Source organism: Homo sapiens, chromosome 5, assembly GCF_000001405.40.
Source record: "Homo sapiens chromosome 5, GRCh38.p14 Primary Assembly".
NCBI lineage: Eukaryota > Metazoa > Chordata > Mammalia > Primates > Hominidae > Homo > Homo sapiens.
Window position 1 is genome coordinate 180,825,126 of NC_000005.10, and position 18,697 is coordinate 180,843,822.

An 18,697-nucleotide genomic window follows, 5' to 3' on the forward strand; every position below is an offset into this window, starting at 1 on the left:
AAACTCTTCTTCAACTTGTTAATGCGACAGTTTTATTTGTTTGGACGCAGCTTTCCATTATCATTCTTCCCACCCCAAACTTCCCTTTATCCCCAAGATGTCTCCAGACAGAGGTGTTTCCAGCTGGCCCCAGTTCAGCTGATCTCCAGTCTGTCTGCCCATGAGAGTCCCAGGAGAGCATGCCGTCTAACTAAGCCGCCTGGGCTTTGCTCTGGACCCCTAAGGAGTCCCTACAGGTCAGGTCTTCCCTGCTCCATCCAGAGAGGGGCCCCTCTCATACTGCAGAATGCTCGAAGTCCACAAATGTTCATTCTCCCCTTCGTTACTAGTAGAACTCACTCAGTTAAGGCTGAGCTCACGGTAGGCAACCTCAAACTCTCAGTGGCTTATCAAAAAAGTCATTTATTTTTCTTGCAGGCTGGTGGAGGCCGCTCTGCTTCAAGCTGTGAGCCGAGTCAGGGCTGCTTCACTTGTCTCTCATCCTCTGGACCAGTGACCACCTGGGGTGGCAACAGGGCCAGAGGACGAGCAGAGACACAAGAGGCCTCCTAAGGCCTCAGCTCAGAACTAACAAACTCGCTTCTGCCCACATTCCATTGGCCAAAGCCCTGCATGAGTTGTGGAAAAGTACTCTCCACTTTGGTGAACATTAGTAAGAGAAAAGAGGGAAGGAAGAATTGCAGGCAAGTAATACCATCTACCTCGGCCTCCTATGCAGCTTGGTGTGTACCTGCACCTAAGTTCTGGCCTGTAGGATATGAGGGGAAGTGAGGTGTGCAACTCCAGGACCTGCCCCTGTAAAGACTGGGCCCTGCCTTTCCCCTGCCCATCTGCTGGGGACATGGTAGGACTGCAGCAGTTGCCTGGCCCAGAGATAGACGGCACAGCTATCCTGCTGGTCCTACCTCTAGACCGCCACATGTACCTCACTTACACTGCTTGGGTTTTGCATCTTAAAACCCCAATTAGCACACCATTCATTCATTCATTCCCCCATCAACAAGTATGTACTGAGTGTCTTTTTGCCAGGCATTGCACTAGGTTTTGGAGAGATGACAGTGAACAAAAACAAACTTGGCTGTTCTGTATCTTGGCTGTGGCAGTGGTTACACAAGCCTACACATGTGATAAAACTGCATAGAACTAAATACACACACACAGAGGAATGCCAGTCAAACTGGGAATTAAAGAATCAAAAAGTCACTGGTGACTCAACATGGCAGCAGTCCAGCTCAACCATACAGATGACAGCAGTGTGCTGAAGTATGACAAAGGAATGATTTAAAAGGAATTGAGGCAGAGCTGCCAGGCAGGCATGCTCACCTTGGACTTTGAAGCAAGAGAGACATAAATAAAGGTCTTTGTTCTGTAAGTAGAGTGTTCATATAATTTATCATCCAAACTGAGACACCTGTGAAAATAATTACACTGGAACAACTTGTGTGACTGATCAGCTGGTCACTCCATCTTTAAGTCATTGTCTTGTTGAGTCTGTTATCAGAGCCCATGGAGTGCCATGCATGGACAGCTTATTTAGGCACAACAGAGAAAAATTAAAGGGAAGGAGGAGCAAGGAAGAGTGGAAAGGATAAAGAAATGGTGAGCATTGGCAGGAAACAATGCAAGGAGAAAAGGGAACAGGAATCGGATTTTCTACTAATTTGCTGTGTGTTCCTGTGTCAGTTTATAAATTAGTGTCTATATTTACAACCGATTGGAAGAACGAACTTTTTAGATCCTCTCATCCAACAAAGCTGCAGATTTCTTTATTGAGATGGAGTTGAGAAAGCTTTAAAACAGGCCAAAGCAACATGAGGACATGTGTCATGAGAAGAGAAATGGTCTTCCATAAATTGAGTGCTGGGGAAGGCTTGGTGTAGGTAATGTAGAGGTTCTCAAACTGTGGAGAAGCTCAAAATGTGTTCCTTTGAGCCTTGGTCTTCTAGTTAGGCCACTGTCTAAGCCACTATACAAAAAGACACCAAACACACTGGCTTCAACAAGACAAGCCTCTGTTTCTCTTTCGGGTGACAGGAGAAGCAGAGGACTAAGCTTTCTTTTCCAAGTCATCACCTGAAAGTTGCCCCTTCACTTCTGCTCACATTGCATTGGCCAGAGACTTGAAAGGAAGCTGGGCACGTGCTGTGGGGAAAAGAAAGAGAGATCAGATTGTTACTGTGTCTGTATAGAAAGAAGTAGACGTAGGAGACTCCATTCTGTTCTGTACTAAGAAAAATTCTGCCTTGAGATTCTGTTAATCTGTGACCTTACCCCCAACCCTGTGCTCCCTGAAACGTGTGCTGTGTCAACTCAGGGTTAAATGGATTAAGGGCTGTGCAGGGTGTGCTTTGTTAAACAGATGCTTGAAGGCAGCATGCTCCTTAAGAGTCATCACCACTCCCTAATCTCAAGTACCCAGGGACACAAACACTGCGGAAGGCCGCAGGGACCTCTGCTGAGGAAAGCCAGGTATTGTCCAAGGTTTCTCCCCATGTGATAGTCTGCAATATGGCCTCATGGGAAGGGAAAGACCTGACCGTCCCCCAGCCCGACACCCGTAAAGGGTCTGTGCTGAGGAGGATTAGTATAAGAGGAAGGCATGCCTCTTGCAGTTGAGACAAGAGGAAGGCATCTGTCTCCTGCCCGTCCCTGGGCAATGGAATGTCTCGGTATAAAACCCAATTTACGTTCCATCTACTGAGATAGGGAAAAACCGCCTTAGGGCTGGAGGTGGGACATGCGGGCAGCAATACTGCTTTGTAAAGCATTGAGATGTTTATGTGTATGCATATCTAAAAGCACAGCACTTGATTCTTTACCTTGTCTATGATGCAAAGACCTTTGTTCACGTGTTTGTCTGCTGACTCTCTCCCCGCTATTGTCTTGTGACCCTGACACATCCCCCTCTCGGAGAAACACCCACAAATGATCAATAAATACTAAGGGAACTCAGAGGCTGGCGGGATCCTCCATATGCTGAACGCTGGTTCCCCGGGCCCCCTTATTTCTTTCTCTATACTTTGTCTCTGTGTCTTTTTCTTTTCCAAGTCTCTCGTTCCACCTAACGAGAAACACCCACAGGTGTGGAGGGGCAACCCACCCCTTCAACGTGCCCTGCCAAACCTCTGGTGGTAAGGCTTCGATTACTAAATGGAAGAAAGGGACACAGGGTGTTTTGGAGTTGACACCTAGCTCTTTGGAGGTGACTCAGATCACTCAGGAGAGTCCGTAAGGCCCGGTGGGCAACACCCCAATCCTCCAGTCTCTACCCAAGAAGCTCCACCTTCATCTATTTGAGGGTTCTATGTTGCGGGAAGTCAGGGACCCCGAATGGAAGGACCAGCTGGAGCTGTGGCAGAAGAACATAAATTGTGAAGATTTTATTTTAATATGGACATTTATCAGTTCCCAAATAATGCTTTTATAATTTCTTATGCCTGTCTTTACTTTAATCTCTTAATCCTGTTATCTTCATAAGCTGAGCATGTATGTCACCTCAGGATCACTATGATAATTGTGTTAACTGTACAAATTGATTATAAAACGTGTGTTTGAACAATATGAAATCAGTGCACCTTGAAAAAGAACAGAATAACAGCAATTTTTAGGGAACAAGGGAAGACAACCATAAGGTCTGACTGCCTGCGGGGTCAGGCAAAAAGAGCCATATTTTTCTTCTTGCAGAGAGCCTATAAATGGACGTGCAAGTAGGGAAGATATTGCTGAATTCTTTTCCTAGCAAGGAATATTAATAATTAAGACCCTGGGAAAGGAATGCATTCCTGGGGGTAGGTCTATAAATGGCTGCTCTGGGAGTGTCTGTCCTATGCGGTAGCGATAAGGACTGAGATACGTCCTGGTCTCCTGCAGTACCCTCAGCCTTATTAGGATTGGGAAACTCCATCCTGGTAAATTTTTGGTCAGACCGGTTCTCTGCTCTTAGACCCTGTTTTCTGTTAAGGTGTTTATCAAGACACTACGTGCACCACTGAACATAGACCCTTATCAGGAGTTCTGCCTTTTGCCCCTTGTCCTGTTTCCTCAGAAGCATGTGATCTTTGTTCTGCCTTTTGCCCTTTGTCCTGTTTCCTCAGAGGCATGTGATCTTTGTTCTGCCTTTTGCCCTTTGTCCTGTTTCCTCAGAGGCATGTGATCTTTGTTCTGCCTTTTGCCCTTTGTCCTGTTTCCTCAGAAGCATGTGATCTTTGTTCTGCCTTTTGCCCTTTGAAGCATATGATCTTTGTTCCTACTCCCTGTTCGTACACTCCCTCCCCTTTTGAAATCCTTAATAAAAACCTGCTGGTTTTACGGCTCAGGTGAGCATCACGGTCCTACCAATATGTGATGTCACCCCCGGTGGCCCAGCTGTAAAATTCCGCTCTTTGTACTCTTTATTTCTCAGCCGGCCAACATTTATGGAAAATAGAAAGAACCTATGTTGAAATATTGGGGGTGGGTTCCCCCGATATCTGGCCCCTATCGGGTTCCCCCGATAGTTCTATCTAAATTTTTATCTGAAAAATAAGTTTCTCTGCTTTAAAAAAGAAACTTTGAAGACCATTTTACAGAAGAATTGGTTTGCCAAGGTGGAAAGAGAAGCTCATCAGTGACGTGACTTAGCCAAAAGCACTGGTTATACCTCTATACCTCGGAGCCGACACTGAAAGCCCCGGCCATAGTCTTTCTGCCCCAAGGAAAGCCTGGGGTGGGGGTGGGTGATATTGTCAAGAGCCAGGCCCCAGCTCCTCATACACACAGCTCATTTGCTCTCCCTCCCAACCCCCACCTTCATACTTCTTCCACACGCATACCAAAGAAAATAAGAATCTCAAGGTTGGAAAATCCCACTTTACTTCAAGTGAAGTCACTGGGTTGTCCCCATGAAATATCTCCACAATGGGTGTGCTAGACCTTTACTCTCTGTGGCACCACCAAGACCCCCTCACCCTGCCAGAGCCCTCTGAAGTGTACTCAGAATGGAGGGGCTGGAAGTGGGGCCAGTGGTCCTGGTAGTCAGCCTCCCCTTCTGACACAAGAATTATCGTGGAACAGCTTGTGTGACCGATCAACTGGTCTCTCCATCTTTAAGCCATTGTCTTGTTGACTCTGTTACTGCAGAGTTTGGGGAGGTCTCATGGCTTCTCGCATCCTATTTCCTGAGCTTCCCTGAAGCCAACTTCTGGCCACTGGTATGTGATGCGAGCACAGTGCCTCCTCCTGCTCCTCCAGGAAGCTTCTGCTGATTGAACGCAGGCCAGATGGCGAGATCCGGAGCAACCTTCTTAGATCAAGGGAAGAAAGGGGCACAAGAGGGGAGTAGGTAACAAGATAAAAGGAGCTCCCTCCCTGATGACTACAGAGCCATCGTGGCAGCCCTGGGCCTCCATTTCAGACGTTCATCTTGCCTAAGCCACCACCATCAGGGTCTCAGTCAGTCATCATTCTCATTTACTCGGGTGGCTGGGTGAGGGCGGAATACTACCTTCCAGCTGTCTGAGATTAAGCCTAAGCCACCACCATCAGGGTCTCAGTCAGTCATCATTCTCATTTACTCGGGTGGCTGGGCGAGGGCGGAATACTACCTTCCAGCTGTCTGAGATTAAGCAGAACAGCAGCTAAAGCAGTAACAGCAGGTCTCCTTCAGCAGCTTGCCACAGGGAAGAGGGTCCCGCGTGAACCGAACTCAACTTCCACCTGCGCAGAGGTAGCTACCATTTGCGTAGAGGTAGCTGGGTCTTTAAGGTTAGAGGGAAGGCGCAGGGAGGGAGAGACGGCGGGTGGGGGTTGAACAAAGTGGAGATTCACAAAAGCAGACTAGGGCGGGCGACGTGATCAGATGACCTGTGCGGGCGGCAGCCTCCTGCCCTCCTCCCCTTCGTGCGCCGGCTGGAGCGAAGAGTTCTTTTGACAGCCGTGAGCTTCCCCGCCAGGAACTTACTGGGGCTGCATCACCCTAGAAACGTGGCTTTGGGCTGTGGAAACGCTGCCTCTGTGGAAGTCTCTCCTCGCGGGGGTGGACGGGTCGCTGCGCGCCCAGCGTTCTTCTGCGGTTCTCACAGCCCGCCGCCGCCGCCGCCTCGGGGACCTTTGCGGGGAGGCCTCAGGTCAGCGCCGCCCTTGCGATGGCGGGAGAGCAGAGCGGCCCCAGGGCCTCTGAGCTCCGGCCCCGGCACGTCCCGCCCTCTCCTCCGCTTGCGGGAGCCGGGGCGCCTCGGAGGGAAACCTTCCGGACACAGGCCGGGAGAAGAGGGGCCGTGGCGCCATCGCGCAGCTTCCTGGTTTCGGCCATGTTTTTTTTTTTTTGAGACGGAGTTTCGCTCTTTTTGCCCAGGCTGGAGGGCAATGGCGCCGTCTCGGCTCCCTGCAGCCGCCGCCTCCCGGGTTGAAGGGACTCTCCGGCCTCAGGCCGCGGTGTTCTTGTAAATTAGAACCGGCCTATGCGCCAAGCGCGGGTCTCGCGGCTGCGGAGAGAGGCCCAGCAGGGGGCGGGGACGCCGGGAGGCGGGGCCTGGCCGAGCTGCGCACACCCGGGTGGTTCTGGCTACGGGTACCCGGACCTGCCCAACGACCGTTCTCCATTCCCGACCTCCGCACCCTACCCGGTCCGCAGGGCACCTTCCTCCTCTCTCTCAGGCACGTCCTCGACCTCAGTTGCCACGTGCACATGCTGGTGCCTTCCAGGTCGGTCTTTCTCCACCAGACTCCACCTGGAACTTTCTTCCTTTTCGTCCTGTGCTGGCCTAACCCCTGCTCGGCCTCGGCCCTCAGCTGCCGGCTCTAACAAAGCCTCTGTCTTTCCCAGACCCCTGTGACCAGGTCAGGCTCTGCTCCCTGCGTTCCTCTCTCCTTGCTTCCCTCCTCCTCCCCTCCCCAGAATCGCTTGAACCTGGGAGGCAGACGTTGCAGTGAGCTGAGATCGCACCATTGCACTCCAGCCTGGGTGACAAGAGCGAGACTCCATCTCAAAACAAAAAACAAAAAACACAACTCTTGCTGGCTCCTTGATTTTAGCCCAGTGAGATTCACTTCTAATTTCTTTTTTTCTTTGAGACAGTCTGTTCTGTCACCCAGGCTGGAGTGCAGTGGCGTAATCATGGCTCACTGCAGCCTCAACCTTCCTGGACTCAAGTGAACCTTCCACCTCAGCCTCCCAGGTAGCCGGGACTACAGGGGTGCACCAGCATGCCTGGCTAATTTTTGCATTTTTTGTAGAGATGGGGTTTCACTATGTTGCCCAGGCTGGTCTGAAACTCCTGTGCCCCAGCAGTCCTCCTGCCTTGGTCTCCCAAAGTTCTGAGATTACAGGCATGAGCCACTGCGCCTGGGCTTCCATTTCTGATTTCCAAAACTCTAGGATAATAAATTTACATTGTTTTAAGCCACCAAATTGTAGTAATCTGTTACAGCAGCAATAAGAAATGAATACAGCCATGCTTGATAATTCCTTTATCAAAAGCTACCTATTGGTGTTAGGAAGTATTGTTTTAAATTCTAAGACAGTGTTTTCACTTTCTATCTTGTGCACTGACTACCTCATGACCCCTTAGGTACCAGTCAGGACTGGTAGACTTTAATGTGGAGAACTTCTGAAACAGCAGTTCTCAAAATGTTACCTCCAGACACACAGAATCTGCATCACCCAGGAACTTGTAACCATGCAAATTCTCAGCCACCCAGACTTCCTGCATCAGAAACTCTGGGGCCCAGCAGCCTGTGTTTTAACAAAGCCCTTCAGGTGATTCTGACACTTGCTCAAGTTTGAGAACCGCTGTTCTAGGAGCTGGTCCTGCAGGGAAAGGGTGGCCTCTCAGTTCAGGTTCCAGTGTGGCTGGGGGTGGGGGTCAAGGTGAGGGTTTGGTTGTTGTGTCTGACAGTCAGCCAGGCTTGAGCACACGGACTGTTTACAAGGCTGCACTTTCCATGTTCTGGTCAGCAGTCTCCTGGTTCATTCCGTTACGAATGGACTGTCACCCCAAAATTAATGTTGAAATCTATTTCTCTATTTGGAGGTGGGGCCTTTGGGAGGTAATTAGGTCATGAGAGTGGAGCCCTCATGAATGGAATGACTGCCTAAGAGAACAGAGATGGCTCACACCTGTAATCCCAGCACTTTGGGAGGCTGAGGTGGGCGGATCACGAGGTCAAGAGATCGAGACCATCCTGGCTAACACGGTGAAACCCCATCTCCACTAAAATACAAAAAATTAACCAGGTGTGGCAGCGGGTGCCTGTAGTCCCAGCTACTCAGGAGGCTGAGGCAGGAGAATGGTGTAAACCTGGGAGGCAGAGCTTTCAGTGAGCTGAGACTGCGCCACTGCACTCCAGCCTGGGCGATACGGTGAAACTCTGTCTCAAAAAAAAAAAAAAAAAAAGAGAACAGAGAGCTAGCTTGCTGATTTTCTGCCATATGAGGATACAGTAAGAGGGCAGCCATCTGCAACTTGTAAGATGACCCTCACCATAACGTGACCATGCTGGCACCACGATCTCAGACTTCTAACCCCCAGAACTGAGAAATAAATTTCTCCACCACTCTATGACACGGTATTTTTTTTTTTTTTTTGAGATGGAGTCTCGCTCTATTGCCCAGGCTGGAGCGCAGTGGCACGATCTCGGCTCACTGCAACCTCTGCCTCCCGGGTTCAAGCGATTCTCCTGCCTCAGCCTCCTGAGTAGCTGGGATTACAGGTATGCGCCACCACACCTGGCTAAGTTTTGTATTTTTAATAGAGATGGGGTTTCACCGTGTTAGCCAGGATGGTCTCGATCTCCTGACCTCATGATCCGCCCGCCTCGGCCTCCCAAAGTGCTGGGATTACAGGCGTGAGCCACTGCGCCCAGCTGGCATGGTATTTGTTATAGCAACCCAAGCTAAGACACTCCATGTTATGGACTGAATGCTCGTCTGCCCCCAAAGTTTCTATGCTGAGATCCTAACCCCTTTGTGATGGTAACAGGAAGTGGGAACTTTGGGAAGTAACTAATTAGGCCATGATGGTAGGGCCCTCATGAGTGGGATTAGTGGCTGTCTTAGTCCATTTTGTGCTGCTATAATAGAATACCCGAGACTGGGTAATTTATATAGAACAGATGTTTGTTCTCTCACAGCTGTTGCATTAGGGATAGATGGAAAGACTTATTTATGTATTGACTGACTGATTGATGGGGCCTTGTTCTGTTGCCTAGGCTGGAGTATAGTGGCATGATCATAGATCACTGCAGCCTCAAACTCCTGGGCTCAAGCGATCCTCCCACCTCAGCCTCCATATAGCTGGTGGGGACCAAGTTTCTAACACATGAATGTTGGGAGACACATTCAGACCATCGCAGTGGCCTTATAAAAAGAGACACAAGAGCTTGCTCTCTGCCATGTGAGAATACCACAAGAAGACTGTCCTCAGCAAATCAGAAAGCGGGTGGACCCTCATCAGACACCAGATGTGCCTGCACCTTGATCTTGGACTTGCCAGCCTTCAGAACAGTAAGAAAGAAATGTGTGTTGTTTAAGCCACCCAGTCTATGGTAACTTGCTATAGCAGCCCACTAGGAGACCCCAAGATATTTAAAAACTCATCAGCACCTGCTTTCTGCATCTGGACCCTGATCTTCTGGTGGGTTTACCAGTTACTTGTAGAGTGTCCCTGTGATAGTTTTAGGTGTCAACTTGACAGGATTGAGGGATGCCTAGATGGCTGGGGAAGCACTGTTTCTGAGAAGGACCATGTTTTTGGAGGAGACTGTTTTATGAGTGAATTTCAGGGGACACATTCAGATCATGGCAGTGGCATTATAAAGAGAGACACAAAAGCTTGCTCTCTCTCTCTGCCATGTAAGACTACCACACAAAGACTGCCATCTGCAAACCAGAAGCAGGTGGGCTTTCCTCAGACACCAGATCTGCCTGCACCTTGATCTTGGACTTGCCAGCCTTCAGAACTCTAAGAAAGAAATGGTAGCATGGCTTGGTCTAAGTTGGAAGGCCTGAGAAACAAGCACATGGTGGAACTGAGTTCAAGGATAAAGACTTGAGAATACCTGCTCAGTGGACTGAGTAGGGAAGATCAACCCTCAATGTAGGCAGGCACTATCCAATCACCTGAGGGCCCAGATGGAACAAAAAGGTGGAAGAAGGGTGAATTCTCTCTTCCAGAGCTGTGACACCCTTCTCATGCCCTTGTACCACACAACTCTAGGTCCTTTGGCCTTTGGACTCTGACACTTGCACCAGTGGCCCTCTGGGGCTCTCAAGCCTTTAGCCTTGAACTTAGTTACACCATGTGCCTCCTTGTTTCTCAGGCCTTCCAACTTGGATCAGGCCATGCCACCGGCTTCTCTGATTCTCCAGCTTGCAGATGGTATATTGTGACCCTGGCATTTAATAACTATGACTTTGGTCTTAAGCAATTTTCTTCCTCTGTGGATTGATATTTACATATCAATGTGGATAATAATTTCTTACCACGGTAACTGTTGTGAGGTAAAAATGAGTTAACATAAGTAAAACCGAGCACATGCAAACCATCCGAAATGGTTAATACTTACTATTTGTACTTGAAGAAATAAATGTTTTTGACAATAAACTTCTTGTGCAGTTTTCCTCAGCCAGTGTCAACTGAGCCGATCATTTATGTGACAGTTTCATTACCAAATGGATGTTCTCACCACTATTTCAAGTGCAGTATGAAACTTTATTTGAAATTCTAAAAAACTAATTAATTAATTAAGGTTGTTTGGCTCTTGCAGCCTGTATTAATTTCCTAGGGCAGCCGTAACAAAGGAGTCACATACCACATGACATTTTGGTCAGCAGCAGGCTGCGTTTCTGACAGTACTCCATACAATTATAACACCATTATTTTTACGGTACCTTTTCTATGGTTAGATACACAAATACTTACCGTGTTACAGTTGCCTACAGTATTCAGAGTACAGTCACATGCTGTACTGGTTTGCAGCCCCGGCGCATTAGGCCATGCCGTGCAGCCTAGCTGTGTAGTAGGCTCTCCTGGCTAGGTTTGTGAGTGTGCCCTCTATGATGTTCACACAACGGCCTAACGATGCATTTCTCACAACGTATCCACGTTAAGTGACCCATGACTATTCATTCTACAAACTGAGAAGCTTAAGTAACAGAAATTTATTTTCTCACAGACTTGGAAGACAGAAGCCTGAAATCAAGTTGTTAGTAGGGCCATTGCCCTCTGAAGGCTCTAGAGGCAAATCTTTTCTTGCCTCTTTCAGCTTCCGGTGGCTCCCAGCAATCCCTGACATTCTTTTCCTTGTAGTAACACAACTCTAATCCCTACCTCAGTCTTCACACAGTGTTCTCCCCTGTGGGTCTCTCAATCTCTCACTCCTCATAAGGACAAGTCTTTGCATTCAGGGCCCCTCAAATCCAGTGTGACCTCATCTTAATTTGATTACCTTTGTAAAGATGCAATTTCCAAATAAGGTCACATTTGTATGTACTGCGGGTTAGGACTTGAACATATATTTTTAGGGGGCACAAGTGAACCCACATCAGAGGTCAAGCCACAAAGCAGCCTACATGGCGAAACCAGTCTTGTCGTGAAAATGTAAACTGAGGTAAGGGCCATGCTGCCTTGGAAAGCGTTCTGTGTTGTCATTCCAGAGCCACGGGGGCTGGATAGTGACAACAGAGGTGGGTTGCAGATCTATGGGCTACTCTTTGCAGAGGCAGTAAGTAGGGACTGCCACAGCATTCAATTAATTTCCTGTAAGAATACATTTTATTCAAGTTGATAAAAAAGCTATACTTATTAATATTGCATAACATTCCTGTGCTATCAAATGAGAATCTCCAGAAATGAATTTGAATAGCTATAAAACCCACATTTTTCTGCAGATACATGTGTAGCCACCTGAGAGCCAGGTCCCTCAGTGTCCACAGACATAGCCCTGCCACCTACCGCCTGCTTCCCAGAGCAATGAAGCTTCTGCTAACTCAGGCTTATCCCAGTCTCTATTTCAGGCCATCAGCTGGATGAAGAATTAATTTAGTAAGCATGAAACAGCTTGCAAAGCATTGGTGAGTGGCTGAGGGCCATGAAACGAGACCACCGTGTGGCCCATCTCTGAAGATGAATCCAACAGCAGTGACTCTACCTGCGTCCTCCCCATCTTTTCTGCTTTTTCATACAATGGCTTATTCACTGCGTGTGACATCATCACTAGCACTGTGTTTATCTATCACATTTCTTCTGTTTTGTGGGTTTGTTTTGCATTAAAGGTCTACTTCTCTGAGCTTTGAGCTGTAAGGCTTGACTGTGAGCAGCAACTGAAGAGTGTGGCACCTCACACTCGGTAGGAAGAAGCTGAATGACAGATGTCGGCAGTGAGGGTGGGGAAAGCAGCCAGGTACCAAGCAGCTGTTTTTTAGGCTAACCATTGAAGGGAAGCTCCTAATCCCTGAGTTAACTTTTAGCAGAGATTAACTCAGTCTATCTATTGGGATGTAAAGGATTTGGGCATAAAGGTATGTTAATTCGGAGGCTCTGGAATGTATAACAATTTCTCCCATTGAAATTTATGATAATTAAGTGTTCAACTTACTGGAATTTTCCCCACAAGACTCTTCTGGGATGAATTTGCCTTGGGGAGAAGACTACGTAACTGAAAACCAGCATCCAGGCCCTCAAGAAGAAATATAATCTCCAACAGTCTCCTTTTCAATTTCTGTCAAATGTCTGGCTTCTCTTGAAGGGATGTTCACGAGAAGGGACAGCCGCCCTCCTCCGAGCCTCCTGTTTCAGCTGATGCACCTTCAAGTACAAGGTCCTGTTCTTGGGCTCTGTTAAAGTTTCCCTCAAGAAAAAAACCTTACATTTGCCAATGCACTTGATGTAAAGTTGTTGAGGATGTTGACTCTCCTTTAAACATTTATTGAAGCTAGGAATAAACTTAACTGGACCTGTGTATAGGAAATCTTAAATTTCTACTAAGAGATGAAAAAAAGAATTCCCTTCCCTTCCTTAACAATTCAGCTCCCGTTACACAAAACCAAACAAGATGGGATTCTGTTGTGGGGGGACAGAACTTCATTGTCCTGAAGCTAGGTGTTGGAGCCCAAGCAGGGTGAGGAGGGAGTCAAGGAGGCCCATGTGGTGGTGGAGCATGGCCTGGCATGGGTCTCAGTGCCCAAGCAAGGTGAAGAGGGGACCATGCAGGGAGTGAGGGTGTCACTGCCCAAGTGAGGTGAGTAGGGCAATTTTGAAAAGTCATGAAAGTTGAGGAAGGGCTGAGGCACCATTCTAGATTGAAGGAGACTAAAAAGATGCAACACTCACAATGCACAATTCTAAACTGAAATCTTTGCTCTAAAGGACATTAGGACAATGAAAGAAACTTGCACGGGGTCTGAGCATTAGGTAGTAGTAATGAATTGATGTTGAGTCCCTAATTTTCATGGTTGTATGCTGATGATGTAGGAGGTTCTTGTAGGAAATACACACTCAAAAGTATTCTGAGGTGATGGGGCATCATATCAGAAGCTTATTCTCAAATGGTTCAGGAAGGAAAAAGTTTTATACTATACTTCTTTGGCAAGTTTAGATTGTTTCAAAATAAAATTTTTTTAAAAAGAGCATTTGTTAACCATCAGTTTGGTAAAAGGTGAAAAATGTTGATAATACCTAGTGTTTGTGAAGGTGTGGAGAAACAAAGTTTCATACACTATTGTCAAAAGTATAAATTGTTACAATATTTTTGGAGAGCAATTTTCCAGTATGTAGCAAAAATTTAAAAGCAAATCTTAACTCAGCAATTCTGCCTTTAGAAATGTATTTGTAGGATAACATACAGGAGAGAAAAATGTATTTTACTGCAACACTGTTGATACTAACAAAAACTGGAAACCACCAAAACATTTATCATGAGGGGGTTAAGTAAAGTATGGTATAACTATACAATGAGTGTACTAGGAAACCCTTAGAAAGAATGCAGAAAGATGTATGTGGACTTTTACAGAAAGGTGAGCTACTGTCTAAATGCAAATGTGCCAATATCATGTATATACAGTCAGGTTCCTTTTGTTAAAAACCAAAAGCGTATGTTTAGAAGCAAAAGCACTCATATAAAGGCCTGGTATAGAGCAGTGGCTAAAAACAGTGCCAAGATACTGCCTCAACTTCCTCTCACATGCTGCCCTGGTGATACTGAGGCTGGTTCAGGAACCATGACAGCCTGTTTGTATGAATTCCTTAAAGCACAAATTACTTAGTTTCTTTCATAACAGTCACCTAATCCCTTAGTTTAAAATGGTTGTGTTCATGGAATACTATGCAGCCATAAAAAAGGAGATCACATCCTTTGCAGCAACATGAGTGGAGCTGGAGGCCATTATCCTAAGAGAACTAATGCTGCAACGGAAAAACCAAATACCGCATGTTTTCACTTACAAGTGGGAGCTAAACAATGAGAACACATGGATACAAAGAGGGGAAAAACAGACACTGAGGCCTACTTGAGGGTGAAGGGCAGGAGGAGGAAGAGTATCAGAAAAAATTCCTATTGGGTACTATGCTTATTACCTGGGTGATGAAACAATTTGAACACCAAATCCCTGTGACACAGTTTACCTACATAACAAACCTGCACATGTACTCCTGAACCTAAAAGTTACAATAAATAAAAAATAAAATGGTTGTGTCCTGACAGGAAATAAGTGTTCCAGATCTGCTTGCCTCCTACCCCCTTAAGAACTCCCAGCGCCAAGGACAGCTTCACAGTGATGTGCTGAATTTGTTTTTTCTCTGCCCCACCCACCATTTTGCTTCTGGTAAGATTTTGAATCCCTGGTTAATTAATGAAGAACTAACCTTACAATGGGTATATGCTTGTGGTCCCTTTCCACCAGCCCCCAGCCCACCTAACATACTAGTTGTGGGACTGCCTAAAGAAAGAATGTCAGGAAGGCCAGAGAGGCGAGCTGAGGATCCCCAGGTGGAGGCCTCCACAGTAAGTGCCACAAGGCCATTGCATCATGAGGGCGTGTTCCATGAAGATGTTCTAGCCATGGTGTTTGTCCACTGTCCCATGTGCCTGACTGCTTGGGCACAGTGGACAGTGGTCTTAGCCAAGGCCTAGTTATGTTCAGGGGCAGATCCCTGGCTTCTCCTAAATGCACTGGCCGTGAAAAGGGGCAGTCAGCTTCAGAGGGAGTTGAGGAGCTGGGGATGGGGAAGGCTTTGAAGATGCCCCTCAAAGCCCCACTGGATGTCAATCAGCCAGTTTCCAGACAAGATAAACTAGATAACTTGCAGGATTCTAGGTGTGGGTAGAGATGAGAATCAAACTGGGAAACGTAACTCTTCCCATAGAAGCAGCTAAAATGGCTGGGCATGGTGGCTCAGGCCTGTAATCCCAGCACTTTGGGAGGCTGAGGCAGGTGGATCATAAGGTCAGGAGTTCGAGACAAGCCTGGCCAACACAGTGAAACCCCATCTCTACTAAAAATACAAAAATGAGCCGGGCATGTGGTGGGCGCCTGTAATCCCAGCTACTCAGGAGGCTAAGGCAGGAGAATCGCTTGAACCCTGGAGGTGGAGGTTGCAGTGAGCCAAGATCCCGCCACTGCACTCTATCTAGCCTGGGCGACAGAGCGAGAATCTGCCTCAAAAAAAAAATAGAAGTAGCTAAAACAATTTGTGTGTGTGTGTGTGTGTGTGTGTGTGTGTGTTGGGGTTGGGGAGGAAGGTGTTAAGATCACAGGAATAAATAAAAATGTTAGCATAGTATTGCTATCACAGTATTTCTGTTGTTACATGCTTGAGTCAATCTTTGTTTTTAGAGGAAAAAAGCGTCCAGAAAAAGAAGGACGCTGGAACCTAGGAACTCCATGATTTGTGCTGAGGTTTTTTTGTTTTTTGTTGCAATGGTGTATTCTGAGGACAGGGTCTAAGAAATAACTTCTTAGTTATTCAAATGACTTCTGAATGAAACATTAAAAATACTGAATTGAAATGACCCCAAAACGTCTTAACTATTAGCAAATAGCTAACCTCTTGTATCCCAGATATTGTTTTGTGGAAAGAAAATGAACTTGCTGGATAAGAGACCAACTGAAACAAAATGGAAAGCATGGCAGTGTGCTATATCCATATATATATACACACACACACACACATATATATATACATACATATATATACATACACATATATATATACATACACACATATATATATATATATATACTTTTTACTAAGGCTAGGAACTTGAGGCGAGGATTTTTTCTTTCCCAGTTTGGATTCCCTTTAGAATTTTGGGTTCAGACAACAACTTTTACAGTTCTTGAACCAAGTTCCCTTTTACTGAAAGTTAACAAAATACAAAGAGGGGCTGTGGGCTGTGGGCTGTGAAAGGATTCTGTAGAAAATTGTAAGGCCCAGATTAAGAGCATGCAGACAGCAGTCTATCAGTCAGATTCTAACCTGAAAATCAGAAACCACTCAAGTGTTCAGATGGAAGAAATCTAATGCAGAGAATAGGTGACACACTCAGAGTCAACATCAGAGAAAGCACTGCCACAGATGCTATCAGACACAGCTTTTAAACTAAAAATGCTACTATGTTCAAGGAAAATAAAGCTACATTTGAGAATCTGGCATACTATGAAAAAGGAAGAAGGTCCAGTGCTGTGGCTCATGCCTGTAATCCTAGAGCTTTGGGAAGCTGGGGTGGGCAGATCACTTGAGGTCAGGAGTTTGAGACCAGCCTGGCAACACAGCACAACCCCTCTCTACTAAAAATACAAAAATTAGCCAGGCATGGTGGTGCACACCTGTAATCCCAGTTACATGGGAGGCGTAAGAATTGCTTGAACCTGGAAGGCAGAGGTTGCTGTGAGCCCAGATTTTGCCACTGTACTCCAACCTTGGGCGACAGAGTGATACTCCGTCTCCAGAAAAAAGGAAGCAAATGAAAAGTCTATTACTGAGAAACAGAAAAACTTAAATTGAGCACTCAATGGGTATATTTAAGCCAGATTACATAGCTAAAGAGAAACTTAGTGAACTGGAAGGTAAATTAGATCCAGAATGAAGCCTGGGTAAGGAGTAGGGGACAAAAGGATGGAAACGAGCACTTAAGAGGCACAGGAGATACAGTGAGAAGGCTTTATTTGGAGTCCTAGAAGGAAATGAAAAAAGAATGGTATAGAGCTAATATCTGAGCACACAATGGCTGAGAATTTACCAAAACTCATGAAAGATAAATACACAAATTTAAAAGCCCAGAGTATACAAAAAAGGATCACTTATAAAAAATCCACACCAAAATAAAACACAGTGAAACTGGAATAAACCGAAGATTAAAAAAATCTTAAAAGAAGCTATTTTAAAAAGAATACATTAAACTGGCAGATGAACAGCCAGAGTGGAAATCACACTTCAGTGGCTTAATGCATCCAATGTGACAAAAGAACATGAGGTCTAACCTAGAATTCTATTCCCACAAAAAACCATTTTTAAGAATGAAGTTATTTTTAGGCAAATAAAAATTGTGAAGTTTTACCTCTAACAGGACAGAGTATTCTAAAGAAAGTTTTCTAGAGAGAAGGAAAATGTCCCCAAATAAAAAATTGCAGAGGTGGAGAAGAATGAAAGGAAATGAAAAGGTTGGGCATGGTGGCTCATGCCTGTAATCCTAGCAATTTGGGAGGCCAAGGCAGGTGGATCACCTGAGGTCAGGAGTTCAAGACCAGCCTGGCCAACACAGTGAAACCCCCGTCTCTACTAAAAATACAACAATTAGCCGGGCATGGTGGTGTGTGCCTATAGTCCCAGCTACTGGGGAGGCTGAGGTAGGAGAATTGCTTGAATCTGGGAGGTAGCCATTGCAGTGAGCCGAGATTTTGCCACTGCACTCCAGCCTGGGTGACAAAGCAAGACTGTCTCCAAAAAAAAAAAATAAATAAATAAATTTAAAAAAAAAGAAAAGTAATTAAACGTTTGGTATAGAAAATAATAACATATTTTAATATATATGTACATTTATATGTATATATAATTAAAATTAACCAAAACAACAGCATATAGGATGGAAGGTAAGAAGTATTCTAGGAACTTTGCATTGTCTAGGACGAAGATAAAAGTATCAATTAACATTAGGCTTTGGTAAGTCAAGAATCCACCTTTTAATTCCTAGGCCACTAAAAGAAGAGAAAAAGTATATAACTTCCAAACCAAAAGATGGAAAAATAGAGTATGAATAGAATCATTCATAACTATAAATTAAAGGGCTAAATGATCCTGTTAAAGTAAGTTATCAGACTGGATTAAAACAAACTATATGCTATTTCCAAGAGGTACATCTAAAACATAAAAATACAGAAAGCGTGAAAGTAAAGAAAGAGAAATGCCATATAACGGTAACCAAAAAAGAAGCTGATGTTATTAATACCAGAAAAAAAGAGACTTTTAGTAAAAGGCATTACTAGGGATAAAAGGTTTACTTCATAAAATTTCAATTCATATAACAATTTTATATTTGTGTGGCCTCAAATATATAAAGCAAAGTTCACAGAACTATATCTAAGTAGAGATAACTCAACAATTGTCTCATTAATAGAAGCAAATAAAACTTCATTAAGAGCAGAGAAGATATGAACAACGTATTACAATCTAATGGCTTTATGTAGATGACTGCATGCGGCATCTGCAGAACATGCATTCTTTTC

At 45.5% G+C, this 18,697-nt stretch overlaps 1 protein-coding gene and 2 long non-coding RNA genes across 7 annotated transcripts in view, besides 3 other annotated features; 1 reads left to right on the plus strand and 2 right to left on the minus strand.

Annotated features, from left to right (window-relative positions):
- Nucleotides 1-1,744: 1,744 nt before the first annotated feature.
- Nucleotides 1,745-18,697, minus strand: part of ZFP62 (ZFP62 zinc finger protein) — a 34,407-nt gene continuing 17,454 nt past the window's right edge. Inside the window, exons 1-2 of one of the 3 annotated variants that reach the window (XR_007058623.1) lie at nucleotides 4,812-6,493; nucleotides 2,055-2,142 (exon numbers count right to left, since the gene is read on the minus strand). Coding sequence is in view for 1 of the 3 variants with exons in the window: in XM_047417504.1 (XP_047273460.1) it covers nucleotides 2,099-2,142 (44 nt within the window). In the remaining 2 variants the exon portion in view is untranslated. Of the gene's footprint in view, nucleotides 2,143-3,188; nucleotides 6,494-18,697 lie in introns of those variants that run through there. The other 2 variants (XR_007058622.1, XM_047417504.1) reach the window with 2 other exon arrangements.
- Nucleotides 4,829-6,493, minus strand: HEIH (hepatocellular carcinoma up-regulated EZH2-associated long non-coding RNA). The gene has a single exon (NR_045680.1). It is a non-coding gene; the product is annotated as a hepatocellular carcinoma up-regulated EZH2-associated long non-coding RNA (long non-coding RNA).
- Nucleotides 5,832-10,601, plus strand: LINC00847 (long intergenic non-protein coding RNA 847). Of its 3 annotated transcripts, none has more exons than NR_027183.2 (3): nucleotides 5,832-6,104; nucleotides 6,611-6,816; nucleotides 9,187-10,601. It is a non-coding gene; the product is annotated as a long intergenic non-protein coding RNA 847 (long non-coding RNA). The 3 variants fall into 3 exon arrangements; NR_045678.1 differs by having other exon boundaries at nucleotides 6,634-6,816; NR_045679.1 differs by lacking the exon at nucleotides 6,611-6,816 and adding an exon at nucleotides 7,548-7,735.
- Nucleotides 6,058-6,107: a silencer, noted in NCBI's record as "silent region_16775". NCBI's record gives its function as "represses an Ori minimal core promoter by ATAC-STARR-seq in GM12878 lymphoblastoid cells {active_cell/tissue: GM12878}" and the evidence as "EXISTENCE:reporter gene assay evidence [ECO:0000049][PMID:35858748]".
- Nucleotides 6,468-6,597: a silencer, noted in NCBI's record as "silent region_16776". NCBI's record gives its function as "represses an Ori minimal core promoter by ATAC-STARR-seq in GM12878 lymphoblastoid cells {active_cell/tissue: GM12878}" and the evidence as "EXISTENCE:reporter gene assay evidence [ECO:0000049][PMID:35858748]".
- Nucleotides 7,038-7,207: a silencer, noted in NCBI's record as "silent region_16777". NCBI's record gives its function as "represses an Ori minimal core promoter by ATAC-STARR-seq in GM12878 lymphoblastoid cells {active_cell/tissue: GM12878}" and the evidence as "EXISTENCE:reporter gene assay evidence [ECO:0000049][PMID:35858748]".